This window comes from Homo sapiens, chromosome 8 (assembly GCF_000001405.40).
Source record: "Homo sapiens chromosome 8, GRCh38.p14 Primary Assembly".
Taxonomy (NCBI): Eukaryota; Metazoa; Chordata; class Mammalia; order Primates; family Hominidae; genus Homo; species Homo sapiens.
In genome coordinates this window covers 82,156,438-82,183,475 of record NC_000008.11, presented here as the reverse complement: position 1 = coordinate 82,183,475, position 27,038 = coordinate 82,156,438, and the positions used below count along the sequence as shown (strand labels likewise).

Below are 27,038 nucleotides of genomic sequence, written 5' to 3'. Positions count from 1 at the left end.
ATCTGCCAACTCCAAGGTCATAAAGATATCCTCCTATTTTTTTCCAAAAACTTTATTATTATACCTTTTACATGAGCAATTAATCTGGAATTGAATTTTGTGCATGGTGTTCAGTAGGTATCAAGTACAATTTTTCCGTGTGGATATTGATTCAGCACTTTTTCTATTGTACTGCAATGTCACCTTAATCATAAATCAGGTTAGTATATTCCTGCAATATGTTTTTTTAAAATTCTCTATTCTATTGGTCTTATTGTTCTATTTGTCAAACATTATGCCAACATCACCATTTTATTTTGCATCTCACACCATACTTCTGGGTCATTTTCACTTCTTTCTGAAGAATATTCTTTTTAAAAAGTTCTTTCAGCAAGGTTTTGATCATGGAAGATTCTTTGTTCTTGTCCGAAAATGTTAATTTTGTCTTCATTCTAAAAGATAGCTTAGATACCTAAATTTGCAGTTATCGTTTCTGTTTAGTTATAGTGATAGTACCGTCACTTTGAATATCCCATCATAGTCTGGCTTCTTTCAATGCTATCAGTTTAATTGCTGTTTTTTTTTTCAGTAAACAATGTATTTTTCTTCTAGCCAGCTTTCTGACCTTCTCTTTCTCTTATATTCTGTTTTACTTCTATTTGAATCCGTAGATGTTAATTTTTATTTTACTTATTGTATTAGTCTGTTTTCACACTACCATAAAGACATACCTGAGACTGAGTAATTTAGGAGGGAAAGAGGTTTAATTGACTCACAGTTTTATATGGCTGGGGATGCCTCAGGAAACTTACAGTCATGGAGGAAGGTGAAGAAGAAGCAAGTACCTTTCTCACAATACAGTAGGAAAGAGAGCGCCTGCAAAAGAGGAACTGTCCAACACATAAAACCGTCAGATTTCATGAGAACTCACTGACTACTACGAGAACAGGATGGGGGAAACTGCCCCCATGATCCAATCACCTCCCACCAGGTCCCTCCCTCAACAACTGGGTATTACAATTTAAGATAATATTTAGGTGGGGACACAAAGTCAAACCATATCACTTATCCTGCTTCTGTTTCCTAAATCAGAAGACTCAAATGATATTTCGACTTTCTCAGATATTATCTTTTGAATAGCCACTTTTATTTTCTGTCTTCATAAAATTTTTGTGAACTGAATGTTGGATTTCTTAGTTTATCTTATATATGCCTTAGGTTTTCAGTGTGTTTACCTCAATATTTCTCTTTCTGAGTAATATCTTCAAACATACAATTCTAATTAGCTAATCATCTTATCAATGTGTAATATTAAGGAAAATATATTTTTTAAAATTTCAGATCTATTTGATTTTTTTCCAAACTATCTGATTTTTAGTCATAGTATCTTGCTCACTTCTCATTTTTTATCCATCATTTTCTTATACTTTTTATCATTTAAAAAATATTTATTTAGTCCCTTTTCTCCAATATTTCTATTATGTAACAAGATCAGAAGACTTGTGCTACTTTGTTTGTATCTACTGACTCTTGCTTATATGGGATTGTTTCTTTGTGTTGTGTCTTGTATTTTGGATTCAATCAGTCTTGAGTGGGGCTTTATCTTTTGTGCTTTCAATAGCATGGGTTGAAAATGAATCTTCAGTAAGTTTTTTTTTATTTCCTTTGAAAGTCTCCCTATGGGTATTATGAAATGTGAACATTTTTATGTTAATTCCTTATCTGGATGTTGCTAGAGCACATAGGTAGAGTAAATTCAAATTCCAAACCTATATTTATCACAGGAAAAAAATCTATTTGTAGAACTGGCCCAAAAGTCAATCTTTTAGTCATCTCTCTCTCCAGAGGTTGGGCCTTTTTTAGTACACCACTTTACTAACAGGTAGCTAGTTGAGAGTTCTGGCTTTCTTAAGTAAACTAAACTGGGCCTCGGTTATAATTCTCTTTTCTGTTTCTTTATGGGTCTTAGACCCAACCTCCTAGTTACCTAGGCTGGCTAGCACAAGCCAGCCTCAGCATCAACTTACATATTTTCTTCTCAAGTTATTTTCTTTTTTTTTTTCTTTTGGTACTTAGGCTGTCCCTTCTGTCCTAGTAAATTCAGTCCCAGTTTTATTTAAATGTTTGGGCACTTCATTTCATATATATTACACATTATATTTTGTCTATCATTCTGTTTTTTTGGTTAGATTTTCAGGTAATTGGCTGGGTATGGTGGCTCATGCCTGTAATCTCAGTACTTTGGGAGGCTGAGGCAGGCGAATCACTTGAGCCCAGGAGTTCAAGACCAGCCTGGGCAACACAGGGAGACCTGGTCTCAACAAAAAATACAAAAATTAGCCGGCTGTGGTGGCACACGCCTATTGTCTTGGCTACTTGGGAGGCTGAGGCAGGAGGATCACTTGAGCCCAAGAGGTCAAGGCTGCAGTGAGCTGAGATTGTGCCACTACACTCCAGCCTGTGCAACAAAGTAAGACCCTGTCTCAAAAAAAAAAAAAAAAAAGTCTTCAGGTAGTCTAGTTTGCAATATTGCTGGAAACATATCTTTTCTACATCCAAACTTTACATATTATTAACATTACTGTATGTTTTATTTTTATAAAAATCTTTGTCATTAAAAAAATAAGATATTGTATAGCTAGCATTTATAGCTTAATCCTTCTTATAAGGGTTAATATGTAAGTCTTATAACAAAGTTCAGAAAAAGTGTTGAGCCTGATTTTTATACATAATCTTCTTTGAATTTCTAAAGGCAAGAAAACTCTATCTATATATTTTCAGGTATTCCACAGTGACCAGGTAGCACATTTTAAATATCCATAGAGAATTGCCTAGCTCATGTTACTATCTCACCAAGAATATGTCAATCATAAAAGGGAGTCAAATGATGAGCACTATTTTACCCACCATCATGGTACTGCTTTGTGCTTCCAAACAGATTTATACAGCTAAGGGCAAACTATGCATGAAATAGTACAATGAGTGTGTATAAATGTGATTCAGTGAAGGAGACCAGCTGTACACATGAGGAGACAAAATCCCCAGTAGATTTCATTTTGCAAAGTTTCTTTGACCACTTACTGTAACCAAATCCTGCCTGTAAAAATCATTTTATGTGGGTTCCAATGATTTCTTCAGTATTTATTGTATATCTACTGTTCTCTGGTCACTAATGATATAAAGATGAATTAACACTACAGTGTCTGGCTTTAATGTTTCTAGTCTCAGAGGAAGAGAAGATCCACATTCAGAAAAATGCATTTCATTACAGAATATACAATATTAGGGGATAAACCTTGACAAGCATTGGACATTAATCAGAGGGAGGATATAAAACATGGGTTGGTTGCTGGGAGAGAGGTGAACAAGAGAAGGTTTTGTGAAGGAAATGGCACTGTCCTGAGTCTTCAGGGATAATTGTATATATTTGCATGGCTGGAAAGGGACTTCAGATAGAAGCAACAATGTGGGAAGAGCTCTTTGAAACTAGGAACTGTGAATCTGAATGATCTTTGTATTTTGTTCTTGATAATGGTGATGAATTTTTCTTTTCTTTTCTTTTTTTTTTTTTTTTTTTTTTTTGAGACGGAGTCTCATGATCTTGGCTCACTGCAAGCTCCAACTCCCAGGTTCACGCCAGTCTCCCGCCTCAGCCTCCCGAGTAGCTGGGAGTACAGGCACGTGCCACCACACCCGGCTAATTTTGTTTTTGTATTTTTAGTAGAGACGGGGTTTCACCGTGCTAGCCAGGATGGTCTCAATCTCCTGACCTCGTGATCCGCCCTCCTTGGCCTCCCAAAGTGCTGGGATTACAGACATGAGCCACCGTGCCCGGCCTGATGATGAATTTTTAACTCCCCAGAGTGCCTGCTTTGTTGATAGCAGCAAATATTTCCAGGCAGTCTGAAAAGCAATTTGAGATATCCATGAATGTTTGTGAATGTGTAAAATAAATAGATGATATTAATGCCTTAATAAGGTTTCTACTCAAATCAGCAATAACAATATCACAATTATAAAGAAATACCAATTATATATCAAAATTTTGAATGTCAAATAGAATCCTATTATTAGTATAGGGATGGTAAAAATAAATTTGACTGAGATTATAATAAACTATCTAATAAATTATAAAAACCTTAGGAAGATTTATAAACAAGAGATGAATAAGAAACCAAACAACACAGATTGAATGAAAAATGAAAAGAATGAAACAAACTGAATAATGGGAGTTGGGATGATAGAGAAAACAGCATGAGCATTGCAGGGCAGAATCACAAAAGAGAGGCTCAAATGGAAAACACATTCATTTGTTTTATCAAAAAGAATTTTTGCTATCACAAAAAGTTCTTAGAACTGTTGAGAACCAATAAGATGAAGTGAGGGGTGCTAAGTAAAGAATGAAGTAAATAAAAATATACAAAGATCAAACCAAAGCAAGTTGCAAGTAGATATTTTAAAAATAGGAATGTATTTAATAGAAATACACCCAATATGCAAATAGTATGTCTTTCTGTAAATTATGGAAATAGATCTTAATTTGACTAATCAAAAATACTTCATCAACATTATTAAAAGATAAATTGGATCTTATCTTTTGAAACAAATAATGAATCAGATAGCTAATATAGGTAAATAGAATAAAAGTAAGATTATAATGGACTAGTGTTAATTGGTGAACTCTTCTTGGAGAAAGTGAGATTAGAAATAAATTTGGTATAGTTTGTATCATAGATGGATGAATAAAGTTAGGGAGAATGCAAGAATGTAAAAAACAAAACCTGAAACTACGACATTGTATACAGAAAAGGACGCTGTAAGTAATAAATGTCAATATATTCACCAGACTAAATTATAAAGGTATTGCTACAAAGGAGTATACATAGAGGAGGAAAAAATGTCACTGGGCTTTTAACGCTATCCTAAGTGATGGATGGTATGTAAAGCAGAGAGAACAATGCAGACTTTAGACCCCCAAGCAAAAGGGTAAAACCATAAGGAGAAAAGTAGGAGAGGAAGAAGAATGTGTTCAAAAAGAAAACATAAATATCAATTTGAATTACATAATAAAGAATATGGTTTTCAGAGACATGCGTTGTACCGAGAAATGAGTACATACACGTTAACTGTTGCAGCCTCAATTAAATGTCTATGTTATAACATTTTCAATATAGTATACCTCACGACAATTAAACCAAGTTTTAAAAACAACAACAACAAAGAATTGTGTGACACAGAGTTGGCTAGAAAAAAATTTAAAATATCAAAAATATTAATATGCTTTCTCTTTTACTTTTCTGTGTACTTGACTTTCACTTTGTTGGCCTGAGGCATCCTCTATCTACAGGGAAAACAAGATTTCTTACAGAAGAAATGAAAAGAGAAAGAATATATTAGTATTCAATTTCTGCAAGGCAGAATTATTTAGCAAGATTATGATAGTCTTGCAGATCAGCTTATTGTGTTAAGATGTTTTTCCCCAAGTATCTTTGTGGTCACTTTGCCTTTTTTAACATATGAAAGCCCAAAGCTGGAGTTTCCAGATCTTAGTGTTCTCCAAAAGGGTTGCTAACTCTTTCACCTAGAGCTTGAAAGCATAGGGCTTGCTGCATAGTGGAAGGAAGATACCATAAAGAAACCAAACAAAAGGGCTATCCATTTTCTAGCCTGAGGATTGGCAAGAAAAAGAGAGTAAGAGAGTGATATGTATGTCCCTAATTTTCCCTCTCCATGCTTTGCCCTTAAGAGGTCCCTAGCAACCAGGCAGACAAGGGAGATGATCACCTACCAAAGGACACCACAAAGACACAATAGGGTTCCCAGTGTTGATGTATTCCCTCTGTATTCCCAGTATTCCCTCTGATGTCAAAAACCATGTAAGCCGCTTCCATTGACTGGTACATCTGCAGGTTATCTTAAAAGGGGAGGGGGAGGCAAGCAGAAGACTAGATCACTACATGAAGGAACTGATTCTAACACTGCATTTAAAACAAAATTAAAATAGGTTTAGCACTTGGTTATACTTCCTCCCATCAGAAAATCCAAATTAGCTTAAACACAAAATAAATATATTATATTTCTCTTTATACATCTGAGTACAGTGTGAGCTAAATTTTAGGACCCAGTTTCAATTGTAATTAAAACTACAAATGATCACCAAATCCGAAATGTTTGATTAAAAAAAAAAAAAAAACATGAGAGTATCATTTGTCAAATCAATAACTTTCTAAGGATTAGCTTAATGCAAGACACTTTATTACATTAAAATGTTAATGATTTTTAAATTGTGATTATATGTACGTTGTATTTTCCTCTGAGAACTCTAAGGTATTTGCATACTTTAACTCATCATTGCTTCAATTTAAAATAGAAAAAGAAGCTGGCACTCAATTAGTCAGAGAAATAATTTAATTGTACTGCCAGGTGGTAGTTAAAATATGAAAAACAATTCTTTGAATGGCTAGGCAGTGTTTGATACTTTCAGCAGCTCATGTTTTTCTTGATATTCTTGAACATAATTTTTTGAAATAATTTGAAAATGGGAATAGTCAATTAAATAATACGTAAAATATTTCATTTGTGTAGCATTTTCACTGCTGCCCTTTAAAGGCAACTATCACAACTGATTTTTTTTTTTTTTTATTTTTTTTTTTGAGACGGAGTTTTGCTCTTGTCACCCAGGCTGGAGTGCAATGGTACAATATTGGCTCACTGCAACCTCCACTTCCCAGGTTTAATCGATTCTCCTGCTCCGGCCTCCCAAGTAGCTGGGATTACTTGTTCGTGCCACCAGGCCAGGCTAATTTTTGTACTTTTAGTAGAGACAGAGTTTCACCATTTTGGCCAGGCTGGTCTCAAACTCCTCACCTCAGGTGATCCGCCCGCCTTGGCCTCCCAAAGTGCTGAGATTACAGGCATGAGCCATGGCACCTGGCCACAACTGATTAATTTTTTAAATTTTTATGTTGGTGGTTTATTTTTCCTTTCTAAGTCTTCTAGGAATGTCAAATTGAAAATAGGAGTTAAGTTCATTTACACACCTTAGTGTATATAAGAATTTTTGTCAAAGTGCAGTCCAGAGCTCATCTCATCTGCAAGGTTCTCCTGGCCATTCTGAAGTTGGTACTTTATTATAAATAATCTATGTATAATGGTAAATATTATACTGCTGTTTAAAGTTCATTTACATTTAATAGTTCTAAAATCAACATTACATATTCAGTTTTTCAGCTAAATTGGGACTATTTTATCATTCATTTTTTTGAAATGTCTGTGTTTACAGGAAAATGTGATGCCTGAGGCATGAGTGGGGGCTATGTTAGAAAGTCTGTGGTCCCCGTGGTATGGTTTATGAATTGAAATAATGAAGGATTCACTTATCCAGGACAGTTCTTAATGTATTTGTTATTTCAAGGTTTGATTTGAATGGTGGTAGAAGGTAATTACTATATTTTACTCTGTCTTTTGGCACATGTAGGTAATTTGAAGCTATGTGCTGAAAGAGCAAATATACATCGGCACAGGAAAATGTTCAAGAATTGCATACACAGGTCTCTTTACAGTATTTGGCACATCTATTTGAATGTTCTCATAACTTTGGTAAACACATAATGTTTTGTAAAGCACCAAAACAATCCTGTGCATTTGCCCTAGTCCCAGCACAGTCACTCTGCTGGGCACATGCGGAGAGGGAAAGTATAGTCTGTGCCAGCTCAGGCCCTTGCTGAACTTGACCTCCTGACCCAAGCTGTGAGGTGTATGCAAGTCTATGAACAGCTTTGCAGTCTATCAGATTCCATGCCCACTAATGAAAATCTTATTTTATTTTCCCCTTGAATTCCTGGCTACCCAGCATGGACATGGCTTTTCAGCCTTTCTTGGGAATAAAAACCAGATTAAGAAAAAGAGATGCCCCCCTTCAAATAATTTGAGCAAAGAATAAAACATACTTAGATCCTTGAATCTAACATATTTTCAACAATATTTCAGAAAGGGCAGAGGCTTTAACTATTTTGTGAGCTAATAGGAAACTTTATGTATAAGGCCGCACTACATGCTATTCAATTTCAGAGACAGAAAAAAGATTTTTATCTATAGTTTCCCCTAGTTCCCCTGTGACCTTTCGATCTGAATCTTGTGATCTCTACTAAACTGTGAGCTATCTTGGGCAAATATTTCCTTATTCATCTTTAAATTCTCAGCCTCAGGCTTAGTGCTGGCACCTGTCACTCAATAAATAGTTTATGAATTAATGTAATAATTTCATATTTTTATAGCCGTATCTTTATTCCTGGGAGTCTGTGATAAAACAAAAGATTGTTACCATAGCACTTCCAAAAGTCATTGATCTGTACTCTTTCTTCTATTTTACTACTTTTGTCTATCATAACTTATAATAAATAAGATGAACTGATGAGCACATGGACTGATGTCATGATTATTCTCTATCTAGTCTCTCATTGGAGATGAAACAAAATAGCCTTCTGAAAATCACCAAAGACAGAAAACCCTTGAGTGGTCAATGTAGCCAAAGATCATTACAACATCTATTTAAAATTTAAAAATAAACAACTGCCTGTAATGATAAAGACTTAACAGTAACAATTGTACTTATAAAGATAAAAACTAATTTAGAAAAAAAAAGACATCAGTAAGGCTAATAATATACTATTAGTCGGGATCATAATGTGAGTAATTTGAAAATGAATGTGAGAGGGTTTTTAAAATACATTTGTCTTTCAGGCTTATAATTAAACAACAATAACAACAACAAAAACTATGTAACACCTACCTTCAAAATAGAAAATGTAATGGCTTTCTTAAAATTTTGCAGGGGTAGGAGGGATAGGAAGAAATTACTTTATGGGGGAAAAACCACATTATCCAGTAGGTTACATTAATAATTTAATAGCTTGCCACAGGTCAGAGTTTTAAATATTGGCCTCCCTTCTTACTCCAGAAATGCTGTGACATAAGCAGAACTAAAGAAATGGAACAATTTTGCTGCAGAAATTTGAAAATGATAACGCAGAGCTTTCTGGTCTAACTGATGGTTTGCTTATCTATCTGACTATAGTAGATGTGAAGGGAGGAAACAAACCATTAGCTATATTTTTGTTTAATTACTAATATTAAATTATTTGAAAATTTAATAAATTATTAATTTATTAATATTTAATTACTTGTAAATATGTGTATCCTATCTAAACACACATGTTTAAAATTATATATATCTTTAAAACTATGCCGTATATCTCAGGTTTTTTTGAACACAGAGAGCAATATTCGTAAAAAGTTATTTATAAGATTAGAAAATAAATAATGAAAATAAAGTGATCCAGTTTAACCAAATAACTAAAATCTATTATATTTTACAAAGAGTTTACTGCACTTATTTATTTTATGGAACATGTAGAAATGAATACTAGAACATGTAATAAAAATTATAAAAGAAATAGAAAATGAGTTTTATTGGTTATGATATTTAGAAAAATACAGTGAACATACTATTTTAGTTGAGAATATTGACTTTGGTATAGATAGGTCATATTCAAATTTTTCATCCCAATGCTTTTGTACAGATTATCACAAATCTTCATATGTTTCCAATCATAGTGTAATGTTCCTAGTAGCATATTAATTGCTCAAGGACAGAAGCATTCTGTATCTTGTTCAGTGTTGTATTTTCAGCTGTTAAAGCAGGGTTGTGCCTGTATATAGTAGATGCTTAAAACACATTTGTTGAACAAAAGACTATTTGAGACCATTAGCTTTGGTGGAAAGGAGTGTAAAATGATTCCTTTTCTAAAGACACCAATGCCAATAAAGTTAAGATAAAGTGTTAGAGTCATTTGACCTAATAGAGCTTTTTGTTTGTTGTTGTTGTTGTTGTTGTTGTTGTTGTTGTTTGTTTTTGAGATGATGTCTCGCTCTGTCGCCCAGGCTGGAGTGCGGTGGTGCGATCTCGGCTCACTGCAAGCTCTGCCTCCCAGTTCAGGCCATTCCCCTGCCTCAGCCTCCTGAGTAGCTGGGACTACAGGCGCCTGCCACTAAGCCTGGCTAATTTTTTTGTATTTTTTTAGTAAAGACGGGGTTTCACCATGTTAGCCAGGATAGTCTCAATCTCCTGACCTCGTGATCCACCCACCTTGCCTCCCAAAGTGCTGGGATTACAGGCGTGAGCCACCGCGCCTGGCCCCGAATAGAGTTTTAAACCAAGACCAATAAGAATTCTGAAATGAGAATAATAACAAGAGCAACATCATCATCACAAAAACAATTATTATGGGAAACATTTATAGGGTTTAATATATATGCCACACATTTTCTTGGCCATTTTTAATGCCTATTCTATTTTAGCCTTATAGAAAAATGTATTTGCTTCATATAGGGGGCAATTATAACTCTAAGAGGTTAATAAACTTACCCAAGGTCACTAGGTAGGCAAATAATCACATCCAGATATGTCTCAAAAGTTTTGCTCTTTCTTCTCTGTCATATTTTCTCAATTTTGTTACATTAATCACCAACATCACTTATATGATTGCATAGTAGGCATATTGATGGAAGATTATGCAACTCTAACCATTGTTAAGCTTTTTAAAATTTACAATTTTCAATATAAAAATTTCTGAACATATAAAAATGTAACAAAACCAACATCAAACTTCAACACCAATCAACATTTTTTGTATCATTATTTCACCTATTCTTCACAGTTTTTATATTTGTTGATCTGTTTTAAAACAAATCCCAAACATTATGTCATTTCTTCTCTGAAAGTTGCAGTAAATAAAAATAAATAAATGAGTACCCTTTGTTATGTAACCACAATGGCGCTTTCACACAGAACAAAATTGAAAATAGCCCCTTACTATCATTTAATGCTAGTCCATTTTCAAAATCCCATTTTGTCATGAAAAGGTCATTATATAGTTGAGTTATTTGAATCAGGAACTAAACAAAATCCACTCACTGTATATGACTGTTATATCTCTCAAGTCCTTTTTATTAAACAGACCCACTCTCCTGTTTTAAATTTTTTTTCTGCAAGAAACCTATTGGAACTGAACCAATTGCACTAGAAAATGTCCTGTATTCTGCACATGTTAATTACCTTTAGCCCTCACATATTGTACTGATGAGAAGTTGGATGTAAAAGCTTATATACATTCATGTTTAATTTATTTGTGGGGGAAAGAATACTTTATGGCTGGTGTTGTACACTTCATATCACATCATACTATAGGAACATCAAGTCTGGCTGTTTCACTCTTAGGGATCTAAAAGTGACCAGTGGGCTGATCAGACAGAGAAATAGAGAAATAAAATATTTTGGACACAATGTTTGGTTACAAAGGCAGTATTAATAATTCATTACTCTGAAAATGGAAAATCGGTTATCAAAGAGAAAAATATATTAAACATTTACATTGTCTCTCTAATATGAAACATATTTAAGGATACTCAGATAGGCCAAATGAATGATGAAGAGTTACTTTACAAAACCACTAGGAACAGTTAACTGGTGAGAAGTAGTAGGATAGCAGTAGGGATGTTTAGAAGTCCAAATCCTCTCATAAATGTTTTTAATATTTTATATTCAACAAGCTCATGAATTATCACACATTCATTCTCTCACATTTTATAGGCCTTTGAAAACAATAATTTACTTGGAATTCGGAAAAATTTTAGCACAAAATGTCTAATATGAAATATGTAATTATACTGCTTTGTATATCACTTCTGAAGTTGCATCCTAGATATATATTTCTACATATTCAACTATATATACATGTATCCATATTCGAATGATTGTACATAAATTTTCAATCTTATTTTAAGCATGTGTCAACAAACATCACTGTAGTAAAGCTACATATGCAAAAAGATTAGCTTCCAAAATTAGATTCAAGAGATGGTAGGATGTGACCTCTTTGTATCACAATTACTCCTTTATTCTTCCATCTCCAATCTTCTGTCTTTTGTCAAAAATTAGATGTGGCATGTTTTTCTCCCTACATATAAATATGTCATTCTGTTGCATGCTATTCCTATAGAGTAATAATGATATCCAGAGGCAAGATAAGATTCTCCTCAAATAAAAATAATTACTAATGAATATATTTCTAACCTAAATATCTATGACAAGATACTCATGCCTCAGGATAATTTAATTTTGTATAAAAATTACTCCTCTAAGTCGAATCCCTGAATAGATTGGTAACTAGTTCTGAAATTGAGGCAGTAATAATAGCCTACCAACCAAAGAAACCCCAGGACCAGATGGATTCACAGCCGAATTCTACCAAAGATACAAAGAGAAGCTGGTACCATTCCTTCTGAAGCTATTCCAAACAATAGAAAAAGAGGGAATTCTCCATAACTCATTTTATGAGGCCAGCATCATCCTGCTACCAAAACCTGGCAGAGACACAACAAAGAAAATTTCAGGCCCATATCCCTAATGAATACTGATGCGAAAATCCTCAATAAAATACTGGCAAACCGAATCTAGCAGCACATCAAAAAGCTTATCACCACGATCAAGTTGGCTTCATCCCTGGGATGCAAGGCTGGTTCAACATATGCAAATCAATAAACATTATCCATCACATAAACAGAACCAGTGACAAAAACCACATGATTATCTCAATAGATGCAGAAAAGGCCTTTGATAAAATTCAACATCCCTTCATGCTAAAAACACTCAATAAACTATGTATTGATGGAACATATCTCAAAATAATAAGAGCTATGACAAACTCTAGCCAATATCATACTGAATGGGCAAAAGCTACAAGGATTCCATTCGAAAACTGGCTCAAGAAAAGGATGCCCTCTGTCACCACTCCTATTCAACATAGTATTGGAAGTTCTGGCCAGGGCAATCAGGCAGGAGAAAGAAACACAGGGTATTCAAATAAGAGGAGAGGAAGTCAAATTGTCTCTGTTTGCAGATGACATGATTGTATATTTAGAAAACCCCATCGTCTCAGCCCAAAAACTCCTTAAGCTGATAAGCAACTTCAGCAAAGTCTCAGGATATAAAATCAACGTGTGAAAATCACAAGCATTCCTATACACCAATAACAAACAGAAGCCAAACCATGAGTGAACTCTCATCCACAATTGCTACAAAGAGAATAAAATACATAGGAATACAATTTACAAGAGACGTGAAGGACCTCTTCAAGGAGAGCTACAAACCACTGCTCAAGGAAATAAGAAAGAACACAAACAAATGGAAAAATATTCCATGCTCATTGATAGGAAGAATCAATATTGTGAAAATGGCCATACTGCCCAAAGTAATTTATAGATTAAATGCTATCCTCATCAAGCCACCACTGAGTTTCATCACAGAATTAGAAAAAACTACTTTAAATTTCACATGGAACCAAAAAAGAGCCTATATAGTGAAGACAATCCTAAGCAAAAAAGAACAAAGCTGGAGGCATCATGCTACCTGACTTCAAACTATACTACAAAGCTACAGTAACAAAAAGGGCATGGTACTGGTACCAAAACAGATAGACAGACCAAGGGAACAGAACAGAACCCTACGAAATAACACCATACATCTACAACCCTCTGATCTTTGACAAACCTGACAAAAACAAGCAATGGGGAAAAGATTTCCTATTTAATAAATGGTATTGGGAAAACTGGCTAGCCATATGCAGAAAACTGAAACTGGGCCCCTTCCTTACACTTTATACAAAAATTAACTCAAGATGGATTAAAGACTTAAACATAAGACCTAAAACCATTAAAAAACCCTAGAAAAAAACCTAGGCAATATCATTCAGGACATAGGCATGGGTAAAGCCTTCATGATTAAACCACCAAAAGCAATGGCAACAAAAGCCAAAATTGACAAATGGGATCTAATTAAACTAAAGAGCTTCTGCACAGCAAAAGAAACTATCATCAGAGTGAACAAGCAACCTACAGAATGGGAGAAAAGTTTTGCAATCTATCCATCTGACTAAAGTCTAGTATACAGAATCTACAAGAAACTTAAACAAATGTACAAGAAAAAAGTAATAAACATGAAAAAAGTGGGCAAAGGATATGAACAGACACTTCTCAAAAGAAGACATATATGCAGCCAACAAACATGAAAAAAAGCTCATCATCACTGGTCATTAGAGAAATGCAAATCAGAAACACAATGAGATACCATATCATGCCAGTTAGAATGGCAATCATTAAAAAGTCAGGAAACAACAGATGCTGGAAAGGATGTGGAGAAATAGGAACACTTTTGTACTGTTGGTGGGAGTGTAAATTAGTTCAACCATTGTGGAAGACAGTGTGGCGATTCCTCAGGGATCTAGAACCAGAAATACCATTTGACTGAGCAATTCCATTACTGAGTATATACCCAAAAGATTAGAAATTATTCTACTATAAAGACACATGCACAAGTATGTTTATTGCAGCAGTATTTACAATAGCATAGACTTGGAACCAACCCAAATGCCCATCAATGATAGACTGGATAAAGAAAATGTGGCACATATATACCATGGAATACTATGCAGCCATAAAAAAGAATGAGCTAATGTCCTTTGCAGGGGCATGGATGAAGCTGGAAACCCATCATTCTCACAAAACTAACACAGGTACAGAAAACCAAACACCACATGTTCTCACTCATAAATGGGAGCTGAACAATCAGAATACATGGACACAGGGAGGGGAACATCACACACTGGGTCTGTCAGGGATTATAGAGCAAGGGGAGGGATAGCATTAGGAGAAATAACTAATGCATGTGGGGCTTACAACCTAGATGATGGGTTGATGGGTGCAGCAAACCACCATGGCACATGTATACCTATGTAACAAACCTGCACATTCTGCACATGTATCCCAGAACTTAAAGTATAATTTAAAAAATTACTCTTCTAGGAAATATATATTAGCAACTTCTGCTTTGTACAATCCCTTATAGAACAGGCTTATTATTATTTTATTCCCCTATGAAATTTAGCAGCTACAGAATATATCTAAATCCCACCAGAAAAAGTGACATCTATACTTTAACAAGACTTTGTTTATATTCATAATCAATTCCTGAGGTCTCCAATTTCTTACTTAGTTTATTAGCTTTGTTTTTATGCAGAAATATTGTGGGCTTTTTAAGGCAGAAACTGTTTCTAACTCATCACAGATCTCTAGAGATTGGCACTGAGGAAGAACACAACAAAGATTTATTTGTTGAATGCATTTTTAAAATAGAAGAAGTTCTTACCTGCTTGCAAAGATTGAAATTAAGTATTAACATGCTTGACTTTTAGAATAAAATATTTAAGCCAATGATCATTTGATTCAGTCATTGTACAAGGCCAGTCTATTCAGCAAAAACAGAGCTTCTCATTCAACAGAGTTATCTGTTCTTATAAAAACAGTTTTCAAAGGAATTAAATATGTTATGTTTATAGTATCTGGATGAAATATTTGGGCACTGAAACTTTTACAAAGATGAGATGTTCACAAGTATCCTTGCTTTACTTTGCCAACACAGAATCCAGTAGCTGTTGCTATAGTTTTAAAAATTTATATTTTTATTTTATTGTTCATTCTTACCTATCAAGTAAGAAATAGATTGATCGTTATTCAATGGCAAAGGTCTAAAAATTATCTTCCTTTACTTTTCTTACGTAAATCATTGTGATTCTCTTGATTGATATATATTTGTTCTTAATCAAATGATACTGGAATCATGAAAAATTTTTAATTATTGGAATTCACTTATATGTTATTAATAGTAGATAAACCCTCCAAAGCTAGAAGTAAAAACACAAGTGTCAAAAGTAAATAGAAAATACAAAGAAAGAATTGTAACAGTGTATCCAAGCTTTCTTTTCATGTTTTTCTCCGATGAACCTCATGCTAATAGAATAATTAAGGATTACTCAGTTCAAATCTCTCCCTAAACTAAAAAATGTGCATTTACAGAAAGGAGCATAAAAGAAATTTCCCTTTCCATTTGCTACTTTCTCCTTCTGTGTCACTCTCTAGATTCTCTCCTACAAATAATTCATCTATACCTCTAGCTTTTATAATTCCTTGCACTGAAAGTCAAATAAGGCATAGAGGGACTCTACATTTTCAGACAATACAAGACCCATATGCTCAGAAAACTGGATAACATTTTGCAAAGACTGTATATTTAGTATTTTTGTGATTACATTTTCTGATATATTCACTGCGTATTATTACTATATATTAGGTTTTCTATTTTAATCTTATATCAAACCCTTTACCTAAATAGATTTATGACATTAAAAGCAGAAACTAGAAATTTTGCCAAACATATTTTATCATGTGTTATTTAACTCTATCTGATAAATTCAGTCACATACATAGATGTCAGAGTAAATAAATATTTCAAGAGAGATAGTTTAAGAATTATATTTTAATTATTCTTACATACATACACACATAAATTTTATGTGCTGTATTTACTTATCATTTATAAAAATGGTTAAAACTGCATGTCATTCTATTCTCTTTTGCATGTAAGCTTATATTTAACCACATTTTAGAGTTTGTTTGAGATTATTTAGAACCATTGTTTCTGACTCAGTAGAATAAGTAAAACTTAGCCAAAATTAAAACATGTTTACTAACTTTTCTGTGTTCTGCAATCACAAAAGTAAGGTTCCCCCAGCTTGGCTACTTTATCTTTCTATTAATATTTTTTGTGACTATATTTATCCTTTTAAACTCGACTGTATTAACTTTACATTCATTTCTCTCTCATATCCTGATCACCATGGGATTGACTGTCAAGAAGGTAATGAAACAAATTTACTGTTCTTGAATAACATTATTTAGGCAGTCAATCTACATATAATGTCTTATTCACCATTATAAAATCTGGACCAGGTGATATACAGAGCAAGGAAATGAGGCTATGAAGGAGAAAAAGAAAGTGTACCCAAATGCCCCCAAGAACTTTAAAGAACCTCAATCTCTTTCTGACATAATCTTATCCCCCCCTTCACAATTTATTTTATTTTATAGTCCAGTGGAAATATTCTCTGCTTTAAAATTTTTCCTCTTCCCTTCCATCTCTTGTGCATGTAGTGAAGACATCTTTAATCTCCAGATTTGACTCTGTCCCTGCTTTCTGAAAATATTTTAGTGGTTCTTTTTCACCACATGGACAAGATGAGCTACGTTCACATGACCCTCTATTTTACATGACACTGACTAATATGCCACTTTTTCTTCATTTATTAATTCATTCAATAAATATTTTAAATGCCTACAGAGGGAGAAAATATAGCAGAGTGATTTAGAACATAGGCTCAGGAGACATACAGTCTACATTTTGTAAAGAGTTAATCTGATTAATAGCTGAGTAAGCTTGAATATGCTCCCTAAGCCTTCTAAGCCTAAGTTTCTATTGATGAAATGAAATGGGAATGGGACCAATGTTATAGGCACCTATGGGGACTGAATGAGACAATCAATGTACTATATGTAGAGTAATGCTGACTACTGTGATTATACAATAAATGCAGATGATCGTGGAGGTAACAGGTTTGATTTCAAGTGGATCACTGTGAATAAGAGCCTAAAAGGGGGCAAAAATAAATAGCAAGGATGGAATTAACTTAGGCACATGTTGTGATAGATCTGGCAAGAGATGCTGTTAGTTTGGAGTAGAGTGGTAATGGAGAGAAATGAACATATTCAAGAAACGATTTGGACTTAGCATATGTAGAACTTGGTGATAGATTCGTTTTATAGGATGAGGGAGAGGAGATGTCAAGAATCATTTACAAATTTTTTATTTGTGTGATGAGATGAAGGTAGATTAAGTTTAAAGAGGATCTAGGGCAAGGGCCAGGAAGCAGAGTAGAAGATCCTGCAATTGATTTTCCACGGGTTGAATGTGATGTGTCTTTCAGTCACCCTAAGAAATGTCAAATAAGCAACTGGATATACTGGAAAGTGTAGCTGAGGAAAAATCATCAGAAGTGAAACTTCAAATCTCATGAATCCTGACATGCAATTTATTCCCCGACAACACTGGTCTTTAAAATGTCTCATAAGTTTTTTGTTGTTGTTGTTTGTTTTGTTTTGTTTTTGAGACAGAGTTTCACTCTTGTCACCCAGGCTGGAATGCAATAGCATGATATCAGCTCACTGCAACCTCCACCTCCCGAGTTCAAGTGATTCTCCTGCCTCAGCCTCACAAGGAGCTGGGTTACAGGTGCCTGCCACCACGCCCAGCTATTTTTTGTATTTTTAGTAGAGATGAGGTTTCACCATATTGGCCAGGCTGGTCTCGAACTCCTGACCTCAAGTGATCCACCCGCCTCAGCCTCACAAAGTGCTAGGACTACAGGCTTGAGCCACCACACCTGGCCTCATAAGTTTTTGTTTATACTTATATATTTTATCTTGATATTCCTTCATTTTGGAATGTCCTTCTCCCATCTTCTTTACCTGGCTACCAGGCTTACATCTTTCAGGCACAGCTGAGATTATGTTTTCTGCAGAGAGCTATGTCATAACCAGGCTAGTGAATCAACAAACTTGTTTTTCATTCCTCCTAGTTAGTTCATTGTTTTTCTTGAGGTTAAATGTGGCCCTGTAACTTAAGTTGTGGCCAGTAAACTGTGTACCACTTTCAGACCTGGCCCATAAAGAAGACTTCTACTCCCTTTTGCTCCCAGCCTGTTTGATGCAGAATCCAGCAGGCCCTAGGAGATTCTAGAGCCATAGGATGTAAGTCTCTGAAACAGCAAGTGAAAGGGGCCCTGCCAAACACATCAAATATATAGAAATGCATGAGCAAGAAAAAGTTCTACCATTTTAAACCACTGATGTTTTAGAATTCTTACAGCAATTATCTTGCCCTGAAATCTTCCTACTTTTTCATGATTATGTTAAGTGCCCCTCTGTGTTCACAAAGCCCTCTGGCATATCTGTATCATTATACTTTCCCACATGTGGTTCCATATTGGTTTATTTGCCTGTGTCTCACAAACTATAGATTTTATGTGGGCAAAGTCCATGTCTCTCTCTTCTTTGTATCCCTAGTTCCTAACATGGCCCCAGAAACCATGAGTTGGCCCTTGGTGAACATTTTTAGAATGATAAAGCGAATGAATGATTCCATTCATTCATCCAAAATTTTCGTGATGTTTCCCCTGAGACCACGTGGATGTCATAATACAAATTAAAACCTATGCAGTATGAGGGTTTCAATTCCTTACTCATTTATTGATTCCTTATTTGTATCTGTCTTCCTTACTCTGTCTCCTAATTTTCACAAATACTCTTGAGTTGTAGAAAAATTGAATTCTCTTCCAATAAATAGTTATTAAATAAATTTTTATATGTTAAAATTTTCTTTTATAACTCTTTCTTATTAAATACCTTCATTTCAGTGCTGCCTTTTTTCCACATTAATATGTATTCTTTCTTCCTTTCTATTTCAGCTAAATAAATGAGGCTTTATGTCTTTATTTTAGGTAAAACTTATCTGCTTTTAGAGCTTCAAAACTATTCCAATTAATTTTTTCAAAAAATGAACAACAAATACTTGGGTCCTACATATTGGAAACAAAAAGTACATTCTATTTTTCCTTAGCCCTGATGCCTTGCTGTTTTTTAAATTCAGCTTGGCATCTTAAAGTGCTGGGAAATAATTACAGAGATCAGAGACAGCTACCCCTCTCCTTGGCTAGGGAACAAAACATGTCAAATCACCATATGCTACCCCTACACTTCAATGCAACCTTCTGAAAACTCATAAATTTCCAACTTCAGCGTTTCTTAGCAACCACTCTAATATTTTCAGCCACAAATTGGAAGCGGGCCCCAGTGAAAGAACACAAGAAGAATTCATGGAAAGAATCTTAAAAACTACTGTGTTGTGCTCAGACAAAAAGGAAGAGTAGGCAAGCTTCCTCAAGGGATATCTGCATGTGGCAGGTGGATTCTGGTCTTCGTAATTAATGAGAGTTGTACTGTATAGCAGATGCTTGAAATATCAACAATTTCAAAGTGAAGCTTAATGCTAAACTGTCCTCATTCATATTTTTTGACATATTTATTGTTTTAGCACATTTTAAGATTATAAATGACTTAAACATTTAGATAAAAAAGAAAAACCTGGCCCCTAGATCTAACTAATATTTTTTCAGAGATGAAACGATATAATCATTTAATAGTTGTTTATCCATTTACTCATATCGGCAATAGGGTGTAAAGATGTCCAAATTTTATGAATCAGAAATTTAGACTGGCACAAGGAAGAACAGATATGCATGTTCCAGCTCTTAATTTTGCCATGCAGATTTTTCCAGCATATAGTCATGAATTCTTCCTAAAGATACTCAGTAAACCAGTGAAAATTTTGACATGAAGAAACATGGGTCTAACAATTAGCATTTGGAAATCAAAGAAGTAGGCAAAGAACATAACAACCAAAAATTAGAATTGCATGTCGAATCACCATATGCTGCCCCTACACTTCAATGGAACCTTTTAGGTCTGAATCCTAACCCACTACCTATTACTGTACTCAAGGTACTTAAACTCTTTCAGCTCTAAGATGGAGACGAATACCTTGCTGGACTGTCATAACAATTAAGTGAAACTACATGTGAAGTTCTAAACTACTATTACTTAATGACTATTATAATTACTATATTAACAACTTGTATCAGTCCTCCTAGTTATCTAACTCTTCTTTGAAAAAAAAAATGGTGCAAAAATCTATTACTCCTGGAAGTCAATGACTCTGCATTTCTGATAATGCCAGCATGGAATTCTTCCAGCAGCAGCAGAACTTGTCAGGGCATGTGTTAACCATTTATTCTTCCACATCCCCTAACAGCAGACTACTTTCTGCTGCTATTAATTGTATTCTAATATATCAAATATCTTTGGCTCATCTATTTTCCCTTTTTTTTCTCCAGAGATTCTCAGGCCACTGTAGTAATCAAACTAACCAAGTGGGTGAATAATGAACCAAAATGTCACATATCCAGCAGGAAAATGTATACAAAGTAATCTCTTCTCCTTATCCTCTGCCAAAATCCTGCTCCACTATGGACTGAATGTGCTCCCAAAGCAACACGGTAATGCCTCTATCTCTAAGTGCTTTGCCTCTGGCTCCTTTTTTCATGCCTGCAATTTTTCTATGAGAACCATCTTCCAATAGATGTTAACTTTTCTACTTATTATTACCCAGAAACCAAGAGTTTATCCTTTCAGGAACAAGGGAATACTTTTCTAGACTTCTAATACAGTTTATATTTAGTTTGAAGCTTTTCTCTGAGAACTTTATAACTCAACTGAATATATTCTGTTAGTGACTAACACCAAAGATTTAGGATATAATATTTTTTAACTTTAATATCTTTTCACACGAATTTCATTTGATCCTTCAAAGCGCCCTGCAAATTAGACTAAACAGGTACTATTTGCACTCAGAGAAAGTGAGGCTAAAATGACTTACCCAAGGCTATGAAGAATGTTAAAGGTCTGACTTGGAGCTGTCTATCAGTCCAGTGTCCTTTCTAAAATATAATCATAAATTTTCTTAGCAAAATAGTATCTCATCTATAAAGGACAGAGAAGTTTCACAGCATGCCTGTAATGTTTCACATATTGAGAGTTTTGTTTTGTATATAGGTTCTAATAGTTTGACTTTCTTTGTAATCTCAAGTTGTGTGTAAAAATAGTGAACTGAGTGCACCAGACAAATGCTGATTTTAGTTGTTGTCATAAGAACTATATACTGTTTAAAATAATTGTGATGAATAACATGACCTTATATTTATACATTTTAATAATTTTTTTAGAATACTTTTACAATCATTATTATATCATTTGAAAAATCACTACAATATTGTGAGGAAGGTGAAACAATGATCACTCCCATGGGAAACGTTTCTTCCATAAATCTATGTTAAAGGAATAATCGGAAACGAGTGAACTCTTCATTTTTTATCAGGAGGTTGACTATTATACTGGACCTATTTCTTCTTGAGGTCGAGTCTTGTGACTTGGTGTTAAAGATTCTTGTAAAGATTCTACTACCTCATGCTCCATTTTAGCTTAAACATTGTCATCACCTAAATCAGGCATTTAGCACTGATTTTACTTCATGACGGTGTGCAAGCCATTGAACCAAGAGAAATGTGTAGGTCTGGCTTCTGTAACCTAGGAACTTACATTTTAACTAGAATACATTGAGGCAGGCATATGAGTGAAACACACACACACACACACACACACACACGAATAAAATGTATTTAAAACAATGAAAATTTGAGATTACAGATAACAAATGATTCTATTTAGGGCTAAAGATAAATACAGCAGTCCTCCGCACTCACATTTTCTGAGGTTTCACTTACCCATGGTCAACCATAATTGAAAATATTAAATGAAAAGTTGCATAAATAAACAATTCATAACTTTTAAATTGTGTGCTGTTCTGTGTAATGCAATGAAATCTCACACTATCCCATTGTTAAGGCTTTTTCACTCCCGTAGTTCGGTGAGCAGGAGGAAGTAGCACCCAACGGCTTCTTCTCTACCGTTGTTTGGGGAGTTGGAGGGAGTGTTACAGCTCTTTTAACTCCCACCACCCGCTGCTCAGCAAGCAGGAGCACTACACCTCTTTTGCTCCCGCAATTTCGGGGAGTTCCAGGTTCCTGTCCTGTAACCAGAAGGAATAAGGTATGTGGATACCAGAGAATGAGTAAGGCAGAGTAGAATTTTACTGAGCAACACAAAGAAAGTTCTCAGCACTGTGAGGGGATGTGAAAATGAATAGCCATCTATGAGGTTGAGTCTAGGGTTCTTACACACTTAGAATGGGGAAGTGCATGCTGATTGGTCCATGGGTGGTCTTGGAACAAGCACCATTTGATTGGTTGAAAAGCATCATTCAGAAGGAACCAATAAAGAGAGAGGGGGTAAGAAGGGGATACAAGTTCTTACTCTGGTCATGAATTTTATTCGGAACTGTCAGCTCGGGTTTGGTTGGTTGAAAAGCATCATTCAGAAGGAACCAATAAAGAGAGAGGGGGTAAGAAGGGGATATAAGTTCTTACTGTGGTCATGAATTTTATTCGGAACTGTCAGCTCGGGTTTTCAGGCTATAAGCTCTTCTTGGCTTGAAGGTCAGATTTCATCTGAGACCTGTCTCTGTCTGCCTAGGAATTTTCTGTCTGCCTAGGAATTTTTCTGTCTCCTGTCGCTATCACCACTCTGTCCTGCCTGGGACATGAGTCTTCCCTTTACCCAGCATATCCTCACTGTCTACACTACCCACCTATTAGTCACTTAGTAGCAGTTTAGGTTATCAGATCAACTGTAGTGGTATTGCAGAGCTTGTGTTCAAATAACCCTTATTTTACTTTATAGTAGCCTCAAAGCACAAGAGTAGTGATGCTGCATATTGTTATAATTATTCTATTTTATTATTTGTTATTGTTGCTAATCTCTTACTGTGTCTAATTTATAAAGTAAACTCTATCACAAGTATATAATGCATAGAAAAAAACATAATATATATAAGATTCAGTACTAGTTGTGGTTTCAAGCATCCAACAGGGGTCTAGGAACATATTCCCTGCAGATAAGGGTACTGTATTTTCATGTGGAATCCTGAAAAGTTAGAAGCCCAATGGCCTATAAATCACCAACAATAGTTAACATACAAAAGTTGAGGGTAAGCTGTGTTCAGACCTTGCAAAGTGCAGTTGTCAGACCTCTAAATAATTTGGGAAGAGTTTGAAAGGGGAAAAAGTAGGGACTATTTAAATAAATACTTAAATAAAAATAGAGAAGCTAAAGGAAGGAAAAAGTAGAGGAAACTAGAGTAAGAATAAGCTGCTGGGATAATTCTAAAAAAATGAAAAAGGATCTTGGCAGATTCTCTCTCTCCAGAAAAAATAGCAATTCGAGATGAAAATTATTAAAAAATAATGTAACATCTGGAAATTGTCCTAGAAACACCAGAAAAAAATGCATAAAAATTCATTCAAGAAAAACTATTTAATTTTTTTAAGAACAAGTAGAGTCTGTGGAATTCTAGCCAAGATTCTTTAATTACCAACCTCCGTTTCCCAACTTCACATTACAAGAGCTCTACCCCAGGCACGTGCAGTCAAGAAGACAGGGATCTCTCTGTCTCAGGAAGAGCAGGCTGCTAGCATTTCTCCTCCTACCTCCACAAGCTCTATTCTAGGAAGGTATGTGGTGAAGAAGACCTGGGACTTTCTTCCCCTATTTCACCCCCGCTCATAGTGTGGAAGTCCTATTTCAAGTAAAGAAGGCGGATGATACTGGGGCCCAGCACACTGGTAGCATGGAGGTTCTGTACCAAGCAGGGCAAGCTAAGACAATCAAGAGCTGCCCCTTACACACTCTAGTGCCAACTAGTAAGTAGACTAGGGATGTCACTCTGGGAGAAACAGATTTCTGCCCCCAACTGTGGTGCAGTCGCACAATGGTTCTGCCCAGGTAGAAAGGCAGGTAATAAGGATGAGGAGTTCTTCAGCTCTGCCTGAGGGGACTGGCTTTATTTGTAACAGTGGATGGAGATCTCTATGCATGGGAGTGTTGCCAGAAACAATAGCTATCTTTGTGGAAAGCAATTACAAGGAGGCAGTAACTCTGAAACAAGTAAAGTTGCAGAGAAACCAGAAGTTCAATAAAAAGAACCAAGAAAAGAGATAGCCAAGAAGGGTTGCTCTGTGATTATCATCAGCTCTAAGGGTGGAAAGGCTTTCTCCTTGCACTATGCTGCATCCACTCAGGAAGCAAGCAGAACAGAATGTGAGTCAGGCTTAAAAACATTTCCCAAACCACAGATAGACCCATCAGCATAGGATGGAAGTCTAAATGGCACCAGGAACTAACAAGGTTAAATTATACCAGGCTCTTCTGATCCTAGAAAACAGCAATAAATACCAAAAGGAGGGTAGTTAAAGAAATTCATCACACTTTATGTTCTGGAAATGGCTTGCTGCAAAGAAGTACCCTTTCTCATGTGACTTAGATAGGACTCACGGATGGCCCTCTTGTGTACCTACAAGACCAGATACAAACATTCTAAATTCTTATTCTTTGCCTCATATATATTTGCTGAACTGTTTGTCCCCATAATCAATCAGAACCAAATACTTGTAAGCAAACTTTAGATTTCTCTCCTTCCTACAGATCTCTGAATTTTACTCTCAGCCTCAGCCGGCATGCAACCTTTCCTAAATTTCTCCTCTTGAAAATAAACTGACATCAGGATAAAACATTCTCTGATCTGTTATCCCATCATGCCTCCCTTTCTTCTTACATCTGAACATCCTGTTCTTTCTAGCCTTGTTTACTCCTCTCTACAAAAGAATAACTCTTTTCACATAATCCTTAAGATGTTTGCTATGGTTGTTTTATTCTCTGTATTGCAATAGTCCCTTCTTCCCCTTTGCAATAATCCGTCAAAAAAGTCTCTCCTTACCTAAATTTGGATTTTTAAAAATTAAAAAAAAAATGACAGTGCTTAAACATAACTTCTGACCAGATACCGAGTGAACAAAGATCTTCTCTGATCTAGGAAATATACCTGGGAAGTCAAGATTTAAAATAATATCACAGTCATCTGAGAGTCTGGAAGACTATGCTTCCCAGAAGAAATCAGGGAGAAAAACCTCCAAGCTGAAGACAGGACAAAATAAAATGAAATAAAATAAAATATCTGAACTGATATAATAGACTTTATGCTACACATGTATTTAAAAGAGTAATAGGTAAAATTCTAACCAACTGGGGGTCGTAAACACAATTTTAATCAATAAACAGGCTGTCAAACCAGAGGCTTCTCCCAGAGAGCCAGGATAAAAGATAAGCAAAAAGGAAAAAATTAACAATTCTAGCAGATACATCAGAGGCTGTACATGGCAGAGGAAAAAGGCTTTACAGAATTTATTAAAATAAGTCCCTAGATAAATGACTATGCAAAAAACAAAAACAACACTCCTAAGAAAGTCAGTATACAATGTTATACCAATATATTATCTAAAATGTATAGTTATCAACAAAACATTAGGAAATATGCAAGGAAATAGGAAAATATGACCCATCCCACTTGGGGGAAAAGCAGCAGGCATTAAAAATTGCCTTTACAGAAAATTAGGTGGTAGGCTTAGGAGACAAAAATTTCAAATTGTCTATCATAAATATGTCCAAAGAACTAAAGGAAACCATGTTTAAAGAATTTAAAAGATATTTAAAGACAACACGTTATCAAATACAGAATGCTAATGAAGAGATATAAATTATTGAAAATAAAAGAAAATTCTGGAGTTGAAAAGTACAAGTGAAATGAAAACTTCACTAGCGGGGCTGAAAAGCAGATGTGAACTGGTGGAAGGAAGCATAAATAAATTTGAAGAGAGATACATGGAGATGATGAAATCTGAAGGAAAGAGAAGAAAATAAAGAAAAATGAACACACTCTGAGAGAAATAAGGAACACTATTAAATACACCAATGTAGTAATGGGAATACAAAACAACAGGAAAAAAAATTTGAAGAAATAATGGCTGAAAACTTTCCAAATTATTGGAAATATTATAGTACACATTAAAGAAACTCAATGAACTTCAAGTAGGATAAATTCAAAGAAATCTAGAGAGAGACACCTTATAATTGAAATGTTGAAAGACAAAGAGAAAGAGAAAATCTTGGAAGCCGCAAGAGAAAAATTACTTATGTACAAGGGAACTGTAGTAAGATTAACTTTGGACTTCTTATCAAAAACAATAGATACCAAAGGCAGTTGGATGACATATTCAAAGTGCAGAAAAAAAATGGCTGTCAAGAATCTTACATTCAGCAAAATATCTTTCAAAAATGAAGGTGAGAAAAAGATATTCCCAAATAATCAACAACTGAGAGAATTGGTTGCTAACAGACCTTCCTTACAGGAAATACTAAATGTAGTTCCTCAGGCTGAAAGCACTCAGCAACAGATAGTAATTCAGATCTAGATGTATTAAGAAAAAGAG

The 27,038-nt window shown here is 34.9% G+C and overlaps 2 long non-coding RNA genes across 3 annotated transcripts in view; one reads left to right on the top strand and one right to left on the bottom strand.

Annotated features, from left to right (window-relative positions):
• Positions 1–3,749: 3,749 nt before the first annotated feature.
• LOC105375930 (uncharacterized) lies at positions 3,750–22,707 on the bottom strand. Its single transcript, XR_929113.2, has 4 exons — positions 22,383–22,707; positions 21,479–21,539; positions 5,768–5,893; positions 3,750–3,882 (listed from the first exon to the last, which is right to left on the bottom strand). It is a non-coding gene; the product is annotated as an uncharacterized LOC105375930 (long non-coding RNA).
• Positions 22,708–22,962: 255 nt separating this feature from the next.
• The window catches only part of LINC02839 (long intergenic non-protein coding RNA 2839), a 51,947-nt gene continuing 47,871 nt past the window's right edge, over positions 22,963–27,038 (top strand). For both annotated transcript variants that reach the window (NR_183481.1, NR_183479.1), the window contains exon 1: positions 22,963–23,059. This is a non-coding gene — a long non-coding RNA (long intergenic non-protein coding RNA 2839). The remainder of the gene's footprint in view (positions 23,060–27,038) is intronic.